Raw genomic sequence first — 19,352 nt, 5'->3', positions numbered from 1 at the left:
CCTGTCAGGGGTTAATGGCCCCCAGTGTTTTCTACCCAGGTCAAAGCCCCTGAGAATCAAGGAGGTCTTCACCTTGCAAGACCAGTATGGCCTCAGAGATGATGGACTCTTGTGCAAGATCTTGGGTTGCTACCCCAGCAAACACTGACTGATGAGGCTAAGACGTCAGCTAAGTAGCCCGAGCAGGCTCCCCGGGCTTGGCGTGCCAAGCATTGAGAGAGAGGGATGGCTTGGGCCTTTGTACTTAACTCACTAGCTGACCCTATCTCAAATCAGGACAGGCCCTGCAAACTGTGTGCACACGTGTGTGTGTGTGTGACTCTATGATAGATGGATCTATTGGAAAATCATAATTCTGTGTCCCTGGCACTTCCCTCCAGCATTCTTTCCTAAGATCTGGCATTTGTAGAACCACTCACTGTCCCCTTAACTTTCCTGCAGGCTCTAACCTGACCCCTCTTTTCTCCAGCCCCTGAGGCCCTTATTGCTGGCACCTCCTGGTCTCCCCAGCTCCCCCAGGGCAGACTTGCACCTCTCTCCCAGGGCCTGACATGGCCACAGGCCTCATGTGCACAGGAACCCAGACCACGTGGGGCATGCAGTTGGCACCCTGCCTGTTTCTTTTGCCTGGCTCAGGAGAGAAGCCACACGTGGGCTCTGTGCACAGGAGGTGCCTAAGACCACAACGTGATGGCTCAGTAAGAACTTGGTGGTGCAGCAGGGAGGGAGGGGACATGACTCAAGCCCCTGAGTGGCCTCCGTGTGTCACTGACCTGGAACCTCACGGGTTACCCTGCCGGTGTCTGCTGGGGCCTGCTGCTCCTGAAGGAAGACAGCGGCTGGGATCAGGGCAGCTGGCTTCCTGCCACGGGTCAGCACCATCACCTGAAGCCCCCAGGAAGGAAATGTTCCCACCCTTGGCTCTCGTCTGAACAGCCCTCTCATCCCCATCGGCAGCGGGACCTCTGGCCCTGTCAGACAACTGGGGCCAGAGCAGGGCTTCTGACCTTGAAGATGCTCAGCGGAGATTTGGGGCTGAAGGCCCATATGCTCCCGCAGCCCCGTGGAGAGAGGGTCCAGGGTGGTTCTCTCTGCCTGTGCCCTGCTGAGCAGGCTGGGGCAGCCAGGGGTCACCTCCTGCTCCCAGGATGACACCATCCCTGGGTGGTCCAGCGGCCTCTGCGGCATCTTTCCGCTTGCCTGGTTCACTCATAGTCAAATGATCTGTTAACAAAACCGTTAAGCCCTGGACAACCCTCCAATTACTGATGAACAAGCCCCATGAGGACAGAGCCCTGCGAGGGGAGGAGGCTTCCTGAGCAGGGCTGGGGCAGGTACAGCTCAGGCGAGGACGAAGAACCTTGTGCAGATGGAGTTTCGAATTCCACGGGCTCTGAGACACACACTGCCTGGAGGAGGGTGTGTGTATCAGGAGTGGGGGCTGGAAAGTCAGGGCAAGGGTGGGATGGGGGTTTGGTTTCAGATCCATGTTGTGAGCCATTCAGTCAGACTTGGGAGATTATTTTGGACAACCTTGCTTTAAAAGCAGTGGTGGTCCTGAGGCTAAGGTGCTCCAGACCCGATTTCTCCTCCAAGAATCTTTAGGATTTACAGTAGTGGTCATAACAACAGCTAATATTATTCGAGCCTACTACGTGCCAGGCACTGGGTTAAGACTTTACATACATTATTTAATCCTCAAAGCATGTCTGTGAGGATGGCACTATTACCTCCAAGTTACAGATGTGGAAACTGAGGCTTAGAGACACCCTTTTTCTAGCAGAAGTTCATGGGGTTAGTGGGAAGTGGAGTTTGAATTTACCCAAGCAGTCTGCTGCAGAATCTGGGCTCTCAACCACCATCCATGCTGCAAGCCACATCCTCACAATCAATTCTCTCTGCCTGCAGCCTTGGCTGTTTGGTCTGGAGGAGCCAGAGAATTCTTTTGGTCCCATCTATTGACGTGGCCATGGAGGACCTGGCCCCGGCGGTGTCCCTGGCACCCTGATTATCCAGCTGAATGCCACGGGATACTGAAAGCCCCTGAGGGGAGGTAGGAGGAGCTCTCCCAAGACAGATAGCTCCCGGAATTAGGGAGAAGTTCCCAGCAACAGGCTGCTTCCTTCCGGTTGTTATGGTCAGTGGAGGATTGTCAAACGTTACAATGGGAGAAGGGGATTTTCTTCTGTTCACGGTGGACGCCCTGGGAGCTAGGTGTTTCAAATGTCATATCTCCTGGGACTCATTAACCTGGGCCCCTAAAAGGCCACGGACACTGAAAGATGGCCCTGGTACCAGTAAAGTAATCACAGTGAACAGTTTTATAGTGATTCCTGCATGCTAGGCAATATTCTAAGCCTACGAGTATGTAAAATAACTCAATCCTCATGACTGTAAGAAGTGGGTTCTAGTCTTCTCCCCCTTTTATAGATGAGGAAACTGAGGCAGAGTTCCAGAGCCTGTATGGTCTGGGGCAGGATATAGTGGAGGTGCTTGGGTGCAGAAGGAAGTTTGAAACAGATGGACTTCTGTCCCCAGAGGCGTGGGTCAGGTGTCGGGGGGTGACGGGCTGCAGAACGAGCTCTCCTAAGGGCACTTTCCATCCCCGTATGCCTGGGGCCCTGAGCACTGACCTGCTTTCATGTGAAGGGAAGGGGAAGTCACAGAACCCTGGTGGGTGATTCTCAGCTCAGTGCTTTGTGCCCACATTCATCAGACGCTTCTGGGGCATCTCTGAGTGCTGGTACCGGCTTGGATACTGAGGGGGGAGTGGGGATGAAATAGCATCCTTGCTGCCCCTGACCCCGGGGCTCACAGTCGAATGGTCTCACAGGCACTCGACCGAGGCACAGTGCACGGCTAGACTGGAGAGCCAAGGCCTGGGGTGGTTACGGGGCAGCCTGCAAGCAGAACAGCAAAGGATGAAGTGGTGGCAAGCACCGAGTCAGCGCTGGCCGTTGTCCCCAGAGCAACTGGGTTGTTGGACAGGGTGTGGCAGGGCCAGACCTGCATTTTGAAAAATCACTCTGGCAGCACCGTAGAGCCAGACTGGAAGGAATGCACTGTGGGCTGGGAGGCCAGTGTGCAGGCCAGAGGTGACGGTGGCCTGATGGTGGGGTGGTGGGGGTACAGAAGAGCAGAGGACATATGTAGAAACCTGAATCGATTGAGTTTTCAGACTTAGTGCTAGAGGTGGACAAAGGGCTGGCCACAGACAACGCAGGCCTTGAGTCTGAACCCTGAATGAATTCATGTTGGCATTTCTGAGGCACAGACACAGGAAGAATAGGTCTGTGGGAAGACAGTTTCAGTCTGGATAAAATTCTGTGCCTCTGGCCTGAGTGTGGGCGAACAGCTTTATCATGCATTCCCAGCTTCTTCCAGAATATTTATGGAGGCTGTGGAAGGAACAATGTGCCCTGGACATGTCAGAGTGTGGGGCAAGGAGAGATGAGATCAGTGCCAGGCCTCACACCTGGGGAGAGCCATCCTGAGTCCTCCTGACAGAAAAGGGATGCATCCCACCTCCCTTTTAGGGAAGGGGTCCCCATCCCTAAGTTAAATGGCTTGACCAGGGATTGCCAGCCCTGTGGACAAGCATGGGCTTCTTCCATCTCCTCTGCGCTGGGGAGGGCCTGGCCTTCTGCCCCTTCCCTAGCCTCCTTCTCTGCTGAACTCTCTAGACCCTGGACCAGAGGCAATAGCCAGAGCTGCTTTTGGGGTAAGCAGGCACAGTGCTATGTACGGACATGTCCGCAATCTCACTCAATCCTCCCTGAGGCCCTGTGAGGGTGGTACTGTCACCCCCACTTTAAAGATGAGGAAAGAGGCTTAGAGAAGTGAGGAGGCTTGTCCCAGTCACACAGCTATTCCCTGTGCCTCAAAGTATTTTCACAAGATCTCATCACTGTTACTTGTGAAGACAGGGATGAATGCAGCAGCGAGGATGAATGGTGTGCCATGAGGTGGAAGTCCAGTGCCAGAATAGGAAGGGAGGAGCTGGAGAACCAAAGGAAGGGGCTGAACCATCCCTCTCTCCCAGTACGGCCTCCCAGAAGGGAGGACAAGCCTGTAGATGGATCCTCATGACCCCTCACCCTAGGCCCCTGCAAAATATGAAGTCCGAAGAGATACCTTTCCCTGCTCAGGTTGACACGGGCTTTGCTTTCTGGTCTAGAAGCAGGTGGGAGCAGGTGCAGCCTGACTCTTCACTCCCAGCCACGCAGGTGAAGACACAATAGCCTTTCTGCAGCTCACCACTAGGCCTGGAGCTTGGGGCTTTAAAAGGTCCCCATACATCCTCTGAGCCACCAAAAACTGTTTGCCAAAGAAGGCAGGGGTAGAAATAGCTGCATTCATAGCCTGTGCTCTGTCATCAGGCACGCACAGCTGGGTTCACGGGATCCTGGGGTAGTAACACTGACTCCAGGTCTCACCGAGGCCTGAGCTTGGCCACACCTCTCCCCATGTGTTAGCTCGGTGGTTCCAATCCAACAACGAGACAAATGTCTTAGGTACTTCATAACAGGATTCAAATGGAACGAATTCTTTTTTCCTCCCTTATCACTTTGCACACATGAAATCTATTTTTAATTAGCTTTCAATACATCATCTAAAAAAAAAATCCTACAGCTTGCTCCCACCCCCAAATTGTTCTTAGAGAAAGAAAGATTTGTCTTGTAAGTTTCTTAAGAAAATCTATATGTGCTCAATGCATTTAAATAACACTCATTAAAGTGAATGGCACACAAGCTGGCTTCTCTAGTCACAGATGAGAGACAATCGCTTGACCTACTGCAAATCAAAAAGCATTTCCACGCCACCTTTATTTTTCAACTGGTTAAGTTTTAAATTAAAGTCCCAACGCCCTTTTTGGAAAGGCAGACTAATAGGGCCCCAACTGAAATTTGAGCTCAGTCGATCAGAAGATAATTACAAGAAACAAAATGTGAAATTTTAAATCTGGGCACTAATGAAGTCTAAAAATACCAGTGGCCCATCCCTCTGGCTGGCAAGACCTGTTCTTCATGGAGGGGAATCTCCCCATAATTACTCAACCCCGGGAGAGGCCAGGTTGTCACGTCAAACAATAGCAGGGAATATCGGGGACTTTAACGAGCTAGATCTCAAGGCATTGCATGGTGGATCTTATTATAATGCTGGGCAAGGTTTCAAACAGAGAACAGGAGAAAAGGAAAGTTCTTTTTTTTTTCTAAAGTGGAGTTCTGACTTGTGTTGACGCCATCACGCAGAGCCTCCTGTTCCTGCCTGGAGCCAGCTGTCTGTCATTTAGGAGTGTGAAATCAATTGGGCTTCAGAGATGTAAAATCCCTAGGGGCAAAATTAAAAGTGACCCAGATCCAAGCCCACCTGGTCCTGTCAGGAACACGACTCTCACATGGCAAGTTTCAAAGATTTAGTTTCAAAATTCGGGTTTCTTATTTTAAAAAATATGCAGTTGTTTGACATTAGATCTGACAGACAAATTATAGCTTCAGCAATAAAGGCTTTTAAGATTAGAAATGAAAAGAGAAATTACTTATATATTAAAAAAAGAAAAAACCCACCCAGGCTTGAGTTTGGAGGCATTTGTAGGCGCGTGCGTCACTCTTTCTTCCCTGCAAATATAAGGGGCTCCATCAGCTGATGAGGCCGTAAATAGAGAAGCGAGTTACATGGAATTTCGAGGAAAGAGCCAGTGTGCTGGCAACCTCTGGAAATCAGGGTGATGGACCGGTCAGTTGTTGTCACTGGCTAGAGCTGGTGGGTCCCGCTGGCTCACCAGAAGGCAGGGCTGAGGACACTTTCTAGGCCCACCCCATCCCTGGCCCTCACACCTGGCCCTCGGTCTGCCCAGTGGGGCCTGGTAGAGGGAATCTTAGCAGGGCCCCTATTTCTTGTCCCCTCCCTTCCATTGGCTCAGGACCACCACAGAGGATGGTTCACACCCTCAGGTCCTTGCACAGAGGTTACAGGAACAGCTCTGCAATGGTCATTGACCCAGTGGGCACAGAAGTCCTGCAGGGTCCTGTCCCCGCCACCTGTGTCTTTCTGATCTCATGGGCTCAGGGCTGACAATGTTTAGCTGCCTGCACCCAGCAGCTTTGGTGGGGCAGATCCCAGCTTGGTGCTGAGCCCCAGACTAGGGACTCCAGTCCTTTCTCAGCTAGTTACCTTTTTGCACAAAACAGCTCCTTTTCCTAGATGCGTGCCTGGAACGTGGCAAGCCAGCAAGATCTTGCATTAGCCCAGAGGGGCTATGTGGGGACAGAATATGCCACCCGGTGCCTTGGGCTTTGGCATAGCCTTGGAAGTAGGATGCCCGCTGCCCAGTTGTCAGAGTTGGTAACTCATGAACTTGAACTGGGAGTAAGTTTCTTTCTTTCTTTTTTTTTTTTTAAAGGGAGACAGAGCTTAACCAAAACAATGCAAAGAAAAAATCAATTTAGTCATTTTTTTAAAAAAGATCTTAAAGCAAGAGTTTACCAGAATTTAGATGTAATTTTCTACAATTTTGTCATTTAAAACTAGTGCTGATTTCCAAAACAAAGGCAGTTAGGGCTCAGTCAGATTGGGAATTAAACCCAACAGAGATCCAGACATGAGCTTTATTGTTGGGATGCTTGACAAGGCATGAAAATTGCTTGAAATGACAAAGGAAGAGACTTGGGAGAGAAGACAGGAGAGTGGCTAGTGGGGTTCCTTGCTCTGCCGAAAGGCAGAGCACCCCGAAATGCCATCTCAAGGGGTTTTATGTGGGAAGGCTGGGAAGTTGTGCCCAGAGATGCATACTTTCTGGGACCGTCTAGTGTCCTCTTTCAAAAGAGATGTAGACACCCCGTTGGGCCAGACTGTTTGCCATGGACCCTTATGCCCCCACTGCCTGTACCTGGCAGTGGCCCAGCAGCCTTCCCCACTGCATCCAGCAGGAGCAGGGACTTGGCTTGTCTGGGGCACTAAGGGCTAGGCAAACCTATAGCAGAGGAATCCAGCAAGCCTCATATGTGTGCCCTGGTCCTCCTGTCCCCTTCTGCCTTCCAGTCTGGACTGATCCCTCAGACAGACATCAAGAACTCTAACCCTAAGACCGGGGGCTCCAACTAGGACCATGTCTAGCACGCATCCTTCCCGAGGCTCTGTTCTGAAGGATCTACCTTCGAGTTCCCTGGAATGAAACTCCCCTGAGGCTGGGGGAAGAGGGTTAACTGAAGGCTGAGGCTGGAGGTGCTCTTTCCCAAGGTCTCACAAAGCCACCCCTGGATCCTTGAAATGAAACATTCAAGTGCCTCAAGATGGTCTAGGAATGTCTCTTGGGCCTAACTAAATTGCCTTGGGCAGTGCTCTCATCCGATGGCACGACAGAGAGTGCCTTCCCTGGGAAGGACACAGTACATGCTCTGAATGTCCTCATGGATGGAATGTGGAGAAGGCCCCCAAAGGGACTGTTCTGCGGTGCCCTGAGAGGAGTGGATGACTCTCACCCTTTTGCAGCTTGGCCTGGCCTTGGGGGTTGGAGGTGAGAATGGCCAGGGCTTGGGCTGGAGGGGGACGGGCTCTGGGCTTTGCAGGCTCTCCCTTCCTTCCTCTTCTTACCCCGGCGCATTTTCCCACTTTGTTTGTCCCGCCCTCCACACCTTCCCCCTCCCTCCCCCATCTCAGGCCAGTTGTCTTGGGCAGGTGGAGGCTCCACTGCAGCCTCTGGGTTGGGGAGGCCAGTGAAGGAGCTGGCATGAAGCACCCCCTGTCCCGGTGGTGTTGCAGTGACCGCGCAGGGAGGTGCAGACGCAGGCCCGTGGGGAGGCACGTGGCAGCAGGACTTACCTCTGGGGTGCCCCGGGTCGGTGAACTCATACTTCCCCACGCCAATGGTCCGCAGCATCTGCAGCCCGTGGGCCGAGTCGGTTGTGGGGGGCCCATTGGTGGCAGGGGCACCACTGGGGAGAGTGGCGGACGGCTGGGCTGGCGGCGGTGGAGGCAGCAGGGGCCCTGCCATGTGGCCGTTGCCCACAGCGGTGGGTCCTGGGCGGGCCACCTGCCCCACACCGGGCAGTGTGGACACGGCCAGGGGCTGAGGGCTGGCATACAGGGCCTGGGCAGGCATGTTGACCACCACGCTGCTCAGTGGCTGAGAGGGCGGCTGAGGGAGCGAGTAGTGGCCTGGCATCAGCGGGAGCTGGGGCCCCACGTGGGGAGGCAGTGAGGGGGTCACCCCAATGACCGGGGCCTGGACGTTCACAGCCGGGCTGAAGGTGGGAGGCTGGGCCACTCCATAGGAGTGTGCAATCAGGGTGGGCTGGTTCCCGGCGGCCACCGTGGTCACCCATGGCCCTGTGCCTGCAAGGGAGATGGAAGAAACGTCATCTGCCGGTTACATTTTCATTCAACAAACACTGACCATCCCCGGCCCTGCACTGGGTGCTAGGTCACAGAGGGGAACGAGACACCTGCGTCCAGGAACTGACCGATTAGGAATCTGTGATCATGGCAGCCCAGGATAAGTGTGCTAGGGGGTCTACGAACAAACAGCCATCGGGGCTCAGAGGAGGAAGTGAGGCCTGCCTGGGAGAGGTGAGAGGCAGCAGAGCAGAGAGAAGGAAGCAGAGCCCTTTGAGAGACTTGGGTTCCACTCTCAGCTCTGCTACTTAGTAGCTAAGAGCCTCAGGAGCAAGTTCTTTTTTATTTTATTTTGAGACAGAGTCTCACTCTGTTACCCAGGCTGGAGTGTAGTGGCGCGATCTCAGCTCACTGCAACCTCCGCCTCCTAGGTTCAAGCAATTCTCCTGCCTCAGCCTCCTGAGTAGTTGGGATTACAGGTGTGCACCACCATGCCTGGTTAATTTTTGTATTTTTAGTAGAGATGGGGTTTCTCCATGTTGGCCAGGCTGGTCTCGAACTCCTGAGCTCAGGTGATCTGCCCGCCTCAGCTTCCCAAAGTGCTGGGACCACAGGTATGAGCCACCACGCCTGACCTCAGCAAGTCCTTATTTCCTCTGAGCCTCATTCTTCTCATCTGTTAAATCCTACCTCAGGGGACTACCAGGAAGAACAGAATGAGGAAGATGTATTTGGAAACAAAACAAAACAAAACTAGCAGAGTGTCTGGCATGTGGTGAATGCCCTATAAATGCTGGGGTTTCTCCTCCCTTTCTGCAAGCTCGCCTCTGAGGGAGGCAGGGGAAGGGGATGGTGGAGATGGGGGTGTTCACTGGGCCCTCAGGTGAGGGCGCTAGAGCCCGGGGCCGGGCATGGTCCTCGCAGGAGGGGAGGGACCCTGGTGGGGGACGTATGGAAAGGCTGGCCGGGCCTTGCTGGGGAGGGCAGGCCTTGTGCTAAGCAACCTGGGCACGGCCAGCCCTGGGGGAAACAAGAGAACCCCACTTTAGTCCTTAAGAAAAATATGGCTGAATGAGGTGGGGTCCAGATACATCTCTTGAGAGCCAACACAAGAGGCGAGGTCAGCTGTGCCAGGCGGGGTGACCTAAGGGGGCCTGTGAGGGAAACTGGGAGACACCATGACAGGGAAGGCCAGTCTGGGATGCCTCTGACTAAATGAGCCTGGGTCCAGGTCTCCATGGCCCAAATGGTACCTTGGTTTTCACAGCTGCTCTGAGGTGGCAGTGTACACTGAGGATGGGGAGACAGAGGAAGGGGAGTAGGGGGCAGGGGGCCACTCAGCACCACAAGCCCCACAGGATAGAATGTGGAGCTGGGAGCTCCCTCTCAGAAAGAAAATGGCGCCGAGGTGGGGCAGGAGCTAAGATGGCGGGTCACTACCAGCCCACTGTCCAAGGGAGAGCCACCAGCTGGTGGTGAGGAGCAAGGCTCGGAGTCACATAGACCACGGTACGAGGCCTGCATCGCCCCTTCCCAGCTGAGGGACCGTAGGCCCAAGCCTTTCCCGAGCCAGTTTCCTCCTCAGCAGCAGGCACTATTGCTGTAAGCCTTGTGATGATGCACAGAACAGGGCACGCAATACATGTGCAACGCATATTTATGATTTTGATAACGAGAGAGGTCGGGGAGAACTGGAAGCCAACAAACATAAGTGAAGTAATGGCAAGATTCTAGAATGTGCTGCTAATGGGAACTGTCCCCAAGCCTGAAGAGGGGAGGTGGTGTCATTATGAGCCAGCCTGGGTGTCTTAAGCCAAAGCATGTCATCCCAAGCTCTGCTCTTTCCAGGATTAGCCAGAGAGCCTGGAAAAATGCATCAGAACTTCAAAGCGTAATGGGTGGGGCCCCAGGGGACTCTGTGGCAGAGACACAGAGACACAGTGCCATGGAGGTGATTTACTTATGATGGGGTGAATGGCCCAAGGGTACAAGAGACCTAAAGAGAAGTCTCTAGTTATATGTCGCCAAGCTCCCAGCATTTTAATCCGTGACTTGGATAATGACGTGGAAGACAAGACCAGGTCTGCAGGGAACATAATTGGGAGGGGTAGGGTCAGCAACAGAAGCTGGTGTCTAAGAGATCCTAAGAGCAAACAGGAACACTGATGAAGCCTTGCTATTGGGTCTCCAAACCCAGCTGCCTAAGCCCAACTGTGAGGACATGAACAGGGGTAACCGTAGCTGCTGGGGCATCTCGGGGTGCTGTTGAAGCAGCATGTGACGTGGCTACTAGCTGAGGAGTGATGAGACCAGAGGTGCTGAAGGAAGCATGTGCCGGGCAGACCACTGTTGAGTTCTGGCCACTGCACTTCAAGAGGGATGCAGGGGGCAGAGCAAAGCCTTGGAAGGCAAAGGGCCTGGAATCTATGGGCTGTGGGGCATGGCTGAATGGCCTGGTGTGTTTATTCCAAGACTTTGAGAGGGGGATGAAGGGGGTCTCCTGACACCTGTAGGGCTGTTGTGTGGAGGGCCAAATCGAGGTGTTCTGTGTATCCTGAGGGGGCGCTCTGGGGCCAATGGGAGATAAAAGAGAGGGCATTCATTATGGCTGGAGCTGTCCAAAGAAGGGCTGGGATGTTGTACAAGCTGGCGAATTAATTCCCAGTCCCCGAGGGTAGAACACCCCAGTTGTCATACAACCACCAGCAAGTAAAAACCTTACTGGAAGGCATGACTCGAGAAATTTGTTATGAATCAGAGTACCCAGGTTTGGGAATGATGATTCAAAAGAATCTAGACTCAATTGAAAGTCACCCTGATAATGTCATTCTCACTCCTTTTGCTCTCTGGAGTCCTTGAGTAGCAGAGGAAGACGCAGAGGGACAGCTCCTTCACAGGGAATTACACACAGTGCCTTTGCCCCCTGAACCTGAGGAGGGGGCTTCTGCAGGCCCTGGGTTCAAGACCTGCTGTGCAGGAGTTGGGGTCCCCAGGAAGCCTCTAGCTTCCCGCCAAGCCCTGGGCTCAGTCGTTTCTATCTGCCGATGAGGTACGTACCTGGATTGTCACTCTCTCTCATCTGTTTGGAGGGTGGCTCATCAGTGTCCCAGGGTGTGGACTGATTGATAGGCGTCTGCCCCCACCGGATGCTGGTCGCCAGTCCCTGGGACTGACTGTCCCCTTTGGAGATGCCGGGAGCCTGTGGGAAGCAGATGAGGAGGTGAGCATAGCCTGGCCAGAGACCAGCCTCCAGAACAAGACTCCCTAGGAGGGACCTAGCCTCCAAAACAAGACTCCAGTTGCCTAAGCTTCGCCCACTGAGTACAGGGTCAGAGGCAGAGCCTCAGCCCTCCACCCAGTCTTTGGTGGGAATTGCAGGGGGTTCTGCCATAGTAGTAGCAGCTGGGACCTCTGCTAAGCTCCTGCCTCTAGGAACATCCAAGCCAGTGCCTCCCTTGTCACCCTCCGTGGCCACTCACTCCACCTGCCCTATCACAACGGGAAGAGCATTCTGAGATATGAGATGGGTTCTCTGGCCCTCGGACCATCCACAAACCACAACCACACAGATGCTACCAACTTATCGGGCATGTGCTGAGTACTGACTGTGTGCCCAGCCCAGCCTCTGTGCCACCACTAGCTGGCTCTTGGACATGGGAGAGGACAGCTTTCCAAGGGGCCACCAGCAGACAGCAGGTGAGGGACTTTATACATTTCCTATCCTGCCCCCACACCAGCCTCTGAGGCCCAATTGTCCTATGGAGGAAGTGTGGGGAAGTGGGGAGCTGAGGCCCATGGCGGGGATAGCTCAGATACTGCTCCTAGGTGGATGGTGGGACCCTCAGCTCCTCTGTGCAGGAAGGAGACAGGCTTTCTGCTCCATGAGCCCACTCTCTAGTTCAGATTTGTAGATGAAGGAAAAAATAAACCTCAGAGTGAAAAAAAAAACACCAGGACAGTATTTGTCTCCCTGAGCCACAGCCTTATAATGGAATATTATATAGCTATCAAAAATCATGTGTACTAAGAATTCTTGATGACAAAATGCTTACATCATAATGTTTAATGAGAAAAACAGGCCACAGAATGATACACAAATGGCCTCCCTATGTAAACATCCCTGTGTCAAACAATATGTGTAGGAGGGAAATGACCAAAATGTTAACAGGGATGTTATTCTTGGGTGAGAGGATTATGGGTAACTTATTTTATTGTCTATACTTTTCTGTATTTGTCTTTTTTTTTTTTTTTTACTATGGCCATTATATGTAATAGGAAAAAAAAAATCCTGGATACATGCTGGCAAGGTTGGGATAGGATACCTGGGATATGCACAGGTGTGGGTGTCAGTAGAGGTGGCCCCGGGAAGAGTCAGCACAGCTCCCAGGAGCACAGCCAGACCCCAACCAGGTGTGGGATGAGGGGTGGATACGGATGCCTGCCAGGAACAGTCACAGAAGCACACAGGAGCCTCCGGGGCATCTGCAGGCCTCTCAGGTGAGGACCATGGTCCTCACGGTGACTTCTGATGAAACTTGACCCAGGAACCCAGCTGGTGGGAGACAGGGCCTGCTGCTGAGCCCCTCTGACCAGAGTGGCTCTCCTGGGTTCTGTGCCAGGGACAGAAAGGGGGTGTGGATGCGGAGGCTGGGCAACACTTGGGGCTTCGACGCATAGTGCAGACGACACACAGCGCCTATGTAAGGGCCTGCTGGAGGAACGGGAGCCGTATCCCATTAGGACCTGTGGGCTGCGCTCAGCTAATTGCATCAGGCTGCACTTTATCTCTGGCCTGCATTTCAGATGCTTTGCTTTTGTGAACAGAGCAAGAAACAAAGGAAAAGGGTGAATCTCCTGAGAAAAGAACAATTCAAGGGACAAGCTTCCTTATCAGAGGGCCTGCCCCATTTCTATCTGTGGGACAGGCAGAGGCTGGGAGGAGAGGGGGTTGGGGACTTAGCCGCACTCACTAATAGTCTTAGGGAACAATAGCATGGTTTTTCCAGCATTCTCCAAATAGACAGCTTTTAACGAGTGCCCTGTCTGAAGGATCTATCCACTCCACAGCCTTCGCTGTATTTCCAGGCTCTCCAGTCCTGGAGGCTCAGAGGCAGGAAATTGCTTTCCTCGGAATCAGAGGCATCTGAGGGAGAAGGAGCCTGTGCCAAGTCCCACACTGGGCCTGGGAGCAAAGTGTGAATGCTAAGATCCCAGCCTCCTGACCGGCACTCCCTTCCTGGACAGTACAGAAGCCCCTCCTGCCTGGAGGGGGTGTTGCAGCCCCTCTCCACCGTGTGGGATCCTAGAGGTGTCCCAGGCAAGAGGCTGCAGAGGTTTTCAGCCTCTTCCGACAGCCACTGCTTCTCCCCTCCTGAATCACACTCCGGCCTGGCAACTCGACAGGGTAGGGAAGCTTCTGGAAACTTGCCCTGGAGCAGCCCCTGCCTCCAGGAGAGGAGGTTGGGGTCTCCTCGAGTTTGGGTCCCCATGTTCTGAGCGCTAAAACTTCAGGAGTTCCAACGGTCACCCTAAAATTGGTGGAGTTTCTGAACTTGAAAAATCTCACACTTTTCCAACACAGATTGCTCAGCCCCTTGGCTTCAAAGCACTCCTACCGCTCACTCATTTAGTTTGTTTCTTCTGCTGTATGTCTGTGTCGGGCACTGCTCGAGGCACTAGGGACACGGGTGACCAAGACTCAGCCCTGCCCTCAAGTGGCTGCTGTGGGACAGTGGGAGGACTCAATATATGAACAGCTCGAGGGAAAGAAGCTGGGGTATCCCGGGTGTGCAGAGGCGGGCCCAGATGGGCTGTGAGCAGGCGAAGTGGGCTACAACCGGCCTGCTGTTTGGCTGTGTCGTTCATGAATACTACAAGCAATTTCTTATGTATAAGAAAGCAGCTCTGTGGTGAGAATCAAGTCTTTTTTTTTTTTTTTCCTTTAGGGTAGATACATAAGGCTACCCATTTTCTACTGAGCACTCACAACATCTGAAGCTACAAGCAACCTGTAGTTCAGGAATTTTATGTATTTTATTAAAATAATGCAATGACATTCCTTCCTCCACTTCCTCCAGAAAAAACCTGGACACGGGGTGTGCCCTTTGCCGAGGAGGCTGGGCCCCCGGGTGGGTGACGTGCAGAGCCACTGGTGATGTGCGTCAGCGCGGCCTGACTAGAGGCCCCTCCTACGACGAGTTCCAGGCCCTCAGTAAACCCATGTGGTCCCCGGGTTCTGGAAGCTTCTAGGGGACCATGTTCAGGGCCGTGGGTCCAGCTCTGAGCCCAGCTCCTGCTAACTCTTTCCTCCCATGGTTCAGAATGTCTGCAAGCCCAGGCCACCCTGATTTCCATGCCTCCTGGTCGGGAGGGCTGCCAACACAAGAATGCCACGAAAACCAACCAGAAGAACTTAGCCCGGGCAGCAGGGAAGAAGGCAGAATTGAGCAAGCTTCCCCTCGTGCCCTCCCACTGCCATCATCTGGGACACCAGTGAAGCCACCCAGACCTTTGGCCGTTCCCCAGTGTTCCTGGCCATGTTTTCTGCTCCAGTGACATGATGGCACTTGGCAGAGAGAGGCAGACCAGGAGAGCCTCTCTGTGCCTGGCCCCACGGAGTGGCCCTATCTGCCCATCATCAGGCCTGAGCAGGCTTCTCTTGGCTTTCCCTTAATGAGATGCTAATGGGATGCATCATTAACGCAGCAGCTTTTTAAACCCTGAGCTCTTGTAAATTTTCAAAGGTCACAGTTTTATGGCAGCTGACAGCATCCTGCTTCTTTCAGCGACTGAAGAACACTAAAGACCGAGGGCCTCTACGGTTGAAGCTCTCCGTGAGGCAGCGCAGAGGGGGAGGCACCTGCTGGCCATGGGGGCTGGGGGCCTCCACCCTGCAGCAGTCTCAGAGGACACGTGGGTTCACTCCACCAGCTTGGGGGGAACCAGCTGTGCATGGCCCACACAGCTGCTCTGAGGGACCAGCTTCATTTAGGGAAAGGTGTGTAGGGCCGCAGGTGGTATGCAATGAAAGATTCCTGGCAGAGGGCAAGGGGCTGACACTCACCTGGGGAGGCAGGAGCAGTGGATGCCCATGGAGTACCCTTTGCTCACCAGGCTGTGTACCCACGAGTCTGCGACACACAGCCCCGAGAGGCTTTTGCTAATTTGTCCACCCAGAGGAAACCCCTTTTTCTACTTTGCACAAAGGTGCCATATAGACTAGCAGCGTCCTGTGTGGCCAGGGAGGTTTGAGAGATGGCAGGGACTCCCCTGGGGTCCTCCCAGGCCTTGCTTGTTCTCACCTCTACTCTCTGTGTACCCAATGATCACAGTACTTAATGCACTGCCCCCAGGGCCTTGTTTCTGCCCTGTCTTTGCAAAGCTCCATGACTCCATGAGGGCAGGGTCTCTGAGCTAAAGTGTTGGCCAGTGGAAGAAGCATATATCACTGCTGGCTCGATGAATGAATGAATGAATGAATGCACAGGGTGGATTCCAGGGAGAGTGAATGACACGAGTCACAGAGCAGAGCAGTGAAACAGCACGGTTCCCTCATTGGGGGTGCTGAGGTTTCCACGTCATGGGGGCCGGGTGTGCTGGGACCCTTAACACTGTTGCCCTGGATGCTGCTGGAGGCTGCCTGGAGCCCTGGATGGCCCAATCCACTGACCAGCAGAACTCATTAGCCCCTCCGGATGCTTGGGTGTGATGAAGGCATGGACACTGAGGAGTGACTACTGCCTCTGTGGAGCTGGGGGAACCTGGGGGAGTCTCCTGGAGAAACTAGAACACAGCACCCTCCACTGTTTGCCCAAGGATGTCAGAAGAGGGTGAATCAATGAAGCCTCGAGAAGAAGCTTCCAGAAGAGATGGGCTGGGCCTGGGCCACAAAAGCTAGGCAGGATTCGATCTGGCAGATGGATGGGGGCCCAAGTCACTGCCAAAGGACCCCACAGCAACCAGTGCATTTTCAGCCTAGATACATCTGACAGAGACAGGCTTCAGAGTCCACTTCCGGGGTGCACATGGGCCTTTCCTGGAGGGACGATGATGCCAGCACCCACAGCCCTCTCCTGCCAAGGAAACTGTCTCCCAGATGGGAACCTGCAGGCCACGATGCTCTGTACCATGTGGTGCAGACAGGGCTGGCGGGGCTGCCTTCTGCCAAGCATCACTGAGCACGCACTCTGGGTCAGGGGCACCACCGTGTACCAGGCATCTGTGCTGGGCAAGGTCCTGCCCTGGAGGAACTTACAACCAGCAGAATGGGACACCTACACCAGGGAGCCGTGGGGGTCACACAGGCTTGGAGAGAGACCCAAGGAACAGACCCATGATGTTGTCTCGCTCCCATCCCTGTTAATAGAGAGACTGGTGCCACCATTAAGAAAAGGTGGGGTAAAATCATGAGGAAATGCAAAGGGGAGACCAGACCAGGGAACACGGGGAGAGAAATGAACGCTGAGGACATGCAGGCCACGGGGCTCCTGGAACTGCCACAGTTGAGCCTTCAGCATAGCACGGAGCTTCCACTTAGTCAAATTAAACACACACACACACACACACACACACACACACACACGAGTGCTGTGACTCTTTTGACAGAGATGTCAGATGCGACACTATGCCAGTCCTGGGCCTATCTTTTTAAGAGGCCTTGAGGCTTCTGCCTTGGTATCTTAGACCCTCCAGACCATCAGCAAATCAGCTGAACATCACCAAGGGTTACTAGTCAATACCATGGGATCAGCAGAACTGTCTAGCCAAGCTCTCTCAGAATTCCTGTGCACAAATTTGGGAGATATTATAAAATGTGTCATTTAACAGCCACTAAAAAAGAAAAAAGTAAAAAAAAAAGGGATACACAGACTACTGTGTATCTTACCATTTTGTATATATTGCAAAATAGTAAAGGGCAAAGTCATTTGTGCCTTACTCTTGACATATAAATGTACAGTGTTACATGCATCTCTTTGTGTTCTGTAGAGGATTAGGGGCAGCATAAATATAGTGGGATTCTAATTACATAAATGCCAGAACTAAAGTCAGTGCAGCAGTTCCCTAACACAGCCCAGCTGGGTGGTGGGTGTGAAGTGGCCTTGGATGAAAACTTGAGGAGCCCCAGGGAAGACAATGCCAGGGACAACGCCAGACAAAGCTCCCTGTACCCGGACCTTCATCTGAAGCCTTGTTTCCATCTCTGGGCTCCCCACAACACCCAGCCCATTTGGGGAAGACAAGCTTTGGTGTGCCCATCCCACCTGCCTGGCCCTGGGTTCTGATGGCTCCTTCTGGCAAGGGATGCTCACGGGCGCTGGCCCTCCCTACAACTCTGGCATGGTTCTGATTGGCCATGCCAGACTTTTGGAACTCCCTACATCAGAAAACTTTCTCTACCAGCTTCCCCTGCAGCTAGGGCATGGCATGTGACCTGTGGCTCAAACCCACTTAGGTGAGACTGCAGTCTGGAAAGCTGGGTGATGTGAGGAGGCCAGCACTGCTCCGAGTCCATGCGCTGCAGAGGCTGGTGGCAGAGGAATGGGGATTTGGGAGCACGTGGGACAGGGAGGCTCTGGTGTCCTCAGCCCAGCACTGGTGGTGAATGCTGTCATTTCCTTTTTCTTCTCACTCTGCAGGGTTATTCCTAGGGCTCTTCTGAGAACAGCAAGAGCAAATTCGCACAGTGCTCCTAGCAGAAGTGCATTTGTTGCGGGCACCTCTGACCACCGGGCCCTGGCTTGCCCTGGGGGGAATCATATCACACCAGCTACGAGCTCCAGGAGGGGGGCATCACTGGGCAGGCCATTGCCTGCAAAGAGTGGATATTTCACTTCCTTTCAGCTTCCCTCCCTTTGCAGGGCACTTGAGGTCTTCACGGTGCCAGGTCCACCTGTGGGGAATGATGGCATCCAGCTTTTGGCAAACATATTCAGACCAGGGTGTTGGGGACTGAGCATGTGGGCCCCTCAGGGGCTCTTGCACTGCAAAGGTGAAGCCCCAGGAAGGCAGTTCTTACTTGAAAGGAATTACTTTCTAATGGTAGAAACTCAGGCTTGGGAAGGAGATATTTTGGTGTCTGGGATCTTTTAGATGACAGCTCATAGGTTTATAGCTAGGCTGTTAGGCTTTCTAGTGTTGGCAGGTTATCACTGAGAGCAGATTCCAAGATCACACAGGGAGGGCTTCTGACCACCACCACGGGGATCTCCAATGGGAGTGCACAAAAGCAGCATCTGGAAGACTTGTTAGAGGAATGGAAGTTTCTGGACCCCACCCTGGAGGTTCTGCTTCAGTTGGTGTTGGGCGAGGGACCCAAAAATGTGCCCCTTTAATAAACCTACAGGGGATGCTCGGCAGGTACTCCATGGACCTCACTCTGGGGATCAATGAAAGTCTTTGCGTTCAAATTCTTGGGCCTGTGCGTGGGGACTGAGGGGTTGATGCTGCTCATCAGGACCTGATTGGGAGAGTTTTGGGTCTTGCTTATGTGGCTCATGGAAACCAGCTCCTTGACGAGGCCACTTCTGAGGACTTCTGTTCTGAGCCTAGGTTTCAGGGGGTCAGAAGGACACGTTGAGAGCCACCAAAGCTGGAAATCTGTGGCCTCCGGGAAGCGCAAATGACATTCAAGGGTCTCTCAGTTCTCATTTCCTGATTGCTACTGAACTACAAATGAGAAGATAATCGCAGTTAAATCCCTACGCGGGGCCAGGGGAGGGTCTCCCAAGCCCCACCTGCCCTCATTAACGAGGCTGCCCTCTCTGGCCCCCTGGCCCCAGGCCTGCACCCTCAGCCTCCCCTTCAGAGCCCTGCCATAATGCGCTCCGGTGCCTGATGAAATTTCTAATAATACTAACCAATGATGTGTTAAATTGAGACACTTCTGGCTCGCATGCCGGAAACTGCATGATGGTTTAAAGGACCAGTGCTTACCTTTCTCTATCAACTTGCTGCTAAATTACTGCTTTCGGGGCAACTTACAGAAAAGTAATTCTTTATTTAAATTTTAATTTCAATCT

The 19,352-nt window shown here is 53.2% G+C and overlaps 1 protein-coding gene across 3 annotated transcripts in view; it reads right to left on the bottom strand.

Moving 5' to 3' along the window:
* The window catches only part of KLHL29 (kelch like family member 29), a 323,428-nt gene that overhangs the window by 57,935 nt on the left and 246,141 nt on the right, over positions 1-19,352 (bottom strand). For 2 of the 3 annotated variants that reach the window (NM_052920.2, XM_006711929.4), the window contains 2 exons: positions 11,392-11,533; positions 7,822-8,334 (listed from right to left, as the gene is read on the bottom strand). In NM_052920.2, coding sequence (NP_443152.1) covers positions 7,822-8,334; positions 11,392-11,533 — 655 coding nt within the window. Of the gene's footprint in view, positions 1-5,567; positions 5,619-7,821; positions 8,335-11,391; positions 11,534-19,352 lie in introns of those variants that run through there. The other variant, XM_011532501.3, reaches the window with a different exon arrangement.

This window comes from Homo sapiens, chromosome 2 (genome assembly GCF_000001405.40).
Source record: "Homo sapiens chromosome 2, GRCh38.p14 Primary Assembly".
NCBI lineage: Eukaryota > Metazoa > Chordata > Mammalia > Primates > Hominidae > Homo > Homo sapiens.
This window is presented reverse-complemented; position numbering and strand designations above follow the sequence as displayed.